The sequence below is a fragment of the Homo sapiens genome, chromosome 1 (assembly GCF_000001405.40).
Source record: "Homo sapiens chromosome 1, GRCh38.p14 Primary Assembly".
In the NCBI taxonomy this organism is placed as follows: Eukaryota; Metazoa; Chordata; class Mammalia; order Primates; family Hominidae; genus Homo; species Homo sapiens.
Genome location: NC_000001.11, coordinates 90,402,202 through 90,406,275, shown reverse-complemented (window position 1 = coordinate 90,406,275; position 4,074 = coordinate 90,402,202). Strand labels below are relative to the sequence as shown.

Sequence of the window (4,074 nt, the reverse complement as noted above, 5' to 3'; positions counted from 1 at the left end):
GTATGGAGAAGGGCAATTCATCCCACCTCTGCTGTCTGTCTAGTGTTCACAGAGGTTCCTCAGAACCCAGTCCTCTGTTCCCATGAGAGCTGGAGGATAGAGCAGTTCTGAGTGGGGCATGAGCAGTAGTGAGGGAGGCATGTGAAGCTCTGTCTTAGTGGGACAAGTTGGGGGTCTCGACGTAAGCATTCTTGGATCATTCTCCTCCCTCTCTACCCAACCAGTGTACCTCTGCTGTGTGTTGAAAAAAATCCCACCTGATCCAGGAAATCTTCCTGCCTGCTTCCTACCTGGACCCGCCACTATCCATTTACCCTCAGGGCCCTTCATCATGACTACTTTCTCCTTTATTGTTACCTGCTTTATGTGAGTCATTCTAATTTCTCCAATGAGATTATAAACTCTGCAAGGCTGGGGCACTCACAGGAAGCTGAATTAATGGTAAGAAGCATAAAACCTTGACGTTAGAAAAAGCTCATGAAATTCAATTTCTCTCTTAGGCTGAAATTATGTCTACAATTCTCAACAAAAATAATTATCCAGTCCCCTGCCCGAATAGTGCCAATTCTGGAAAGCTCACTTCTTTATGAATTGCTTAATTTAAAAAACCCAAACTCACAGAATTGAAAGCTGGCTTTTCTCATTTTTTTCATTGGTAGCCAAGAAGATGAGAAATAATGATACATAAAAAATATTTTAAGTGCTTAAAATACACTAGGTCCTGTTGTAAATTTTGTGTAGTTTATTTCATTTAATCTTCACAACAATCTTATAAGGCAGATATTATCATTAACACCCCTCATCCGCACACACAGGGAGAGAGAAAGGTCAAGTAAATTGTTCCAAGGGCATATAGCTCTAGAGAGTGGAGAAGCCAAGATTCAAAGCAGACAGCCTGACTGCAGAGAATATACTGTCTGAATATGGCATATGGTCATCCTAGAAAATCAATCTATTTTATCCATTGTTTGCATGCGGAAAGTCAAGGCCACCCAAGGGGAAATTATGTCTTACTTAAGGGAAATCTCTTTTTTACTTCAGCTGTCCATCATGTGTTGGGTAAGTCAGACCACTCACTAAATTAGACTTTGTGGTCTGAAATGGTGTTGGAAACCCTAGGACAGTTCTAGAGTTTTCTAGTTAGGAGTGATGGGAGGGGGAGAAATCCTTGATCTGATCTTTTGGTTTCCAGTTAATTAAAGTTGCACTGATCCTGCAAAATAGAAATGGGCTTCCAGTTGGCCAGTACCCAGCTCAGAACAATCCATTGATTACCATTAAACTTCGAATCAAATCCAAATTCCTTATCATGGTCTACAGGACCCTACATGAACTAGACAAGTCTCCAGGTTCATTGACCCAGACATCCATAACATCTGTGGGACCCAGACGAGAGGTAAAAGTTGAAAATCATATATCTAAATACTAAAAATTATAAATTAAGCTAATAAACTGTTAAATATGTTCTATTCTCCTACTCAGGAAAATGTACCTTTCTAATAACAAAAACAGAAAAAGCACATGTGAAGCTATGATTTTTGGTTTTTATGTAACTGAAGGGCTGCAAAATATCAGATAACTGAATTTAATGATTATTGCACATGTCTAGGTGTTTAATAAAATTAAAGGATTAAAGTACTTTTCTATATTTCAAGGGTTAGTTTTTTCTAAAATAGTCAATATTGTTTATTACAATTAAAAGGCAAATGCAAATTATAATTGACTATCCAAATTTTAAATAAAATTAGAAAAGAAAGCTGAAATATTATTTAATCTTTTGAAAATTCAAAAATAACAGATGCTAGTGAGATAGTGGAGAAAAGAGAACACTTATACACTGCTGGTGGCTGTGTAAATTAATTCAGCCATTGCGGAAAGTACTGTGGTGATTTCTCAAAGAACTTAAAACAGAATTATCATTCAACCCAGCAACCGTATTATTGGGTATATACCCAAAGGAATACAAATCATTCGACTGAAAAGACACATGCCTATATATGTTCATTGCAGCACTATGCACAATAGTGAAGACATGGAATTAACCTAAATGCCCATCTATGGTAGACTAGATAAAGAAAATGTGGTACATATATACCATGGAATACTATGCAGCCATACAAAGGAATGAGATCATGTCCTTTGGAGCAACATGGGTGGAGTTAGAGGTCATTATCCTAGGCAAACCAACAAAGGGACAGAAAACCAAATAGCACATGTTCTCACTTTTAAGTGGGATCTAAACAATGAGAATACATGGACACTATGAGGGGAACAATAGACACTGGGGCCTACTTGAGGGTGGAGGGTGGGAGGAGAGAGATGATCAGAAAAAATATCTATTGGGTACTATACTTATTACCTGGGTGACAAAATAATTTACACACCAAACCTCTGTGACACTCAGTTTACCTATATAACAAAGTTGCAGATGTACCCCTGAACCTAAAAGTTAAAAAAAGAAAACTCAATTAAATATTTTTAATATTTTTATAATGTAAAATATGCACAATTCTAGAGCTTAGTGTTTATCTAGTTGTCTCAGTATTGCACTTCATACCTATCACATCCAGACCTATATACAGACAAACTTGAGATAAATATGTACTGTTTAGTATTGTAAAATGTTCCTCAGCTTCCATATGTAACTGTTGCCAATACCACCCTAATTTGTGAACACTGCTAGCGCTGGGAAATGGAATGGAAAGAGAAGCAAGAACATCAACAATCTGAGAAACAATTTTCATTATGCAAAAATCAATTGTATTTATGCTTTCTTAGGATTTGACAAGTTAATTAGTTTGTCTTTTTTTTAAGCTAAAGTGCTTTCATGTCTATAAACCTCACTCACTGCATTCCAAACCTGTGTGTCAGCACAGCGAACCTCCAACCCTGGCATTCAGACACAGTTGCCTTTTGTTTTGAGCATGTAAGTCAAGACATATGGACAATTCCCTGGAACCTGGAGAGAGTGAGTCATGAGGGCAGCTGTTTAAAACTGCAGGTTGTGATGTAACCAGAGCAAATCGCCAGCTTCTGCATGATAGACACCCATGTGCCTGCCATTTGTGTATGTATATGTTTGTGATCTACAAGTCTTTTTAAAACAGAGGCCAAAGGCAGGAGCCCCTTTTGCCTAGTGTAAAGGGGACATTGCTCTGTCCTCACTGTTTTTCAAACACATGCAGGAGTACCCTGCTTTCAGGCCTTTGTACTTGCTCACTTCATTGTGAAAGCCCTGCCGCCATAACTTCGCATCATTTTGCTCTCTTACTTCATCAGGTCTCTGCTCAAATATCTTCCCTTCCAGGTGCCACCATGGCCACTCTATCTAAAATAGCACTCCTTTAAAAATATTGCTCTATGCATTTATTATTAGCTTTACTAATGCAGAAAAAGGAAAGAAAAAGCTCGTAAACACTACGCAAGACACATTACAGGGAAAAAAAGTGACTGAAATGGATTGACAGTGTCCTAGGTTCTTGAGGGATGCATTTCTCGGGGAGGTAGACCTCTAATTCCTGGTGGAGGGGAGGGAGTCTAATTCCTGTATTATATATTTCAAGATAGCTAGAAGAGAGGATTTTGAATGATCTTTTCACAAAGAAATTGTAAGTGTTTGAGGTGATGGATATGATAATTACCCTGATTTGATCATTACACTATGTATAAATATATTCAAACATCACACTGTGTCCCATAAATATGTCCAATTATTATGTGTCCACTAAAAATAAAATAAAACTTAAAAATAAGTAAAATAGTACTCCTGCTGCCATCATTACCTTGCCGTGTTTTGCATTTCTTCGTAGCCCTTATTAATTGCTGAAATTACATTACATATCTGTCTCCCTCACCATGTGCAAGTTATCTGAAGAACGAAACCTTGTCTCTCTTTTCATGGCTATATCTCTGGTGCCTAGAGGTATTATTGAGATATATATCTGGTGCCTAAGAATATTATTGGGTCCTCAATAATATTTTTATGAGTGAATGAATAAATAAGTTTGGAATAACAGTTTATTATTGCAAGGAGGGAATTATTACATTTTAGTATGAAGGTTTTGGGTAAGGAGA

The 4,074-nt window shown here is 37.4% G+C and overlaps 1 annotated feature.

Moving 5' to 3' along the window:
* Positions 2,857-3,057: a silencer, noted in NCBI's record as "peak313 fragment used in MPRA reporter construct". NCBI's record gives its function as "represses an SCP1 promoter by STARR-seq MPRAs in K562 erythroleukemia cells {active_cell/tissue: K562}" and the evidence as "EXISTENCE:reporter gene assay evidence [ECO:0000049][PMID:32103011]".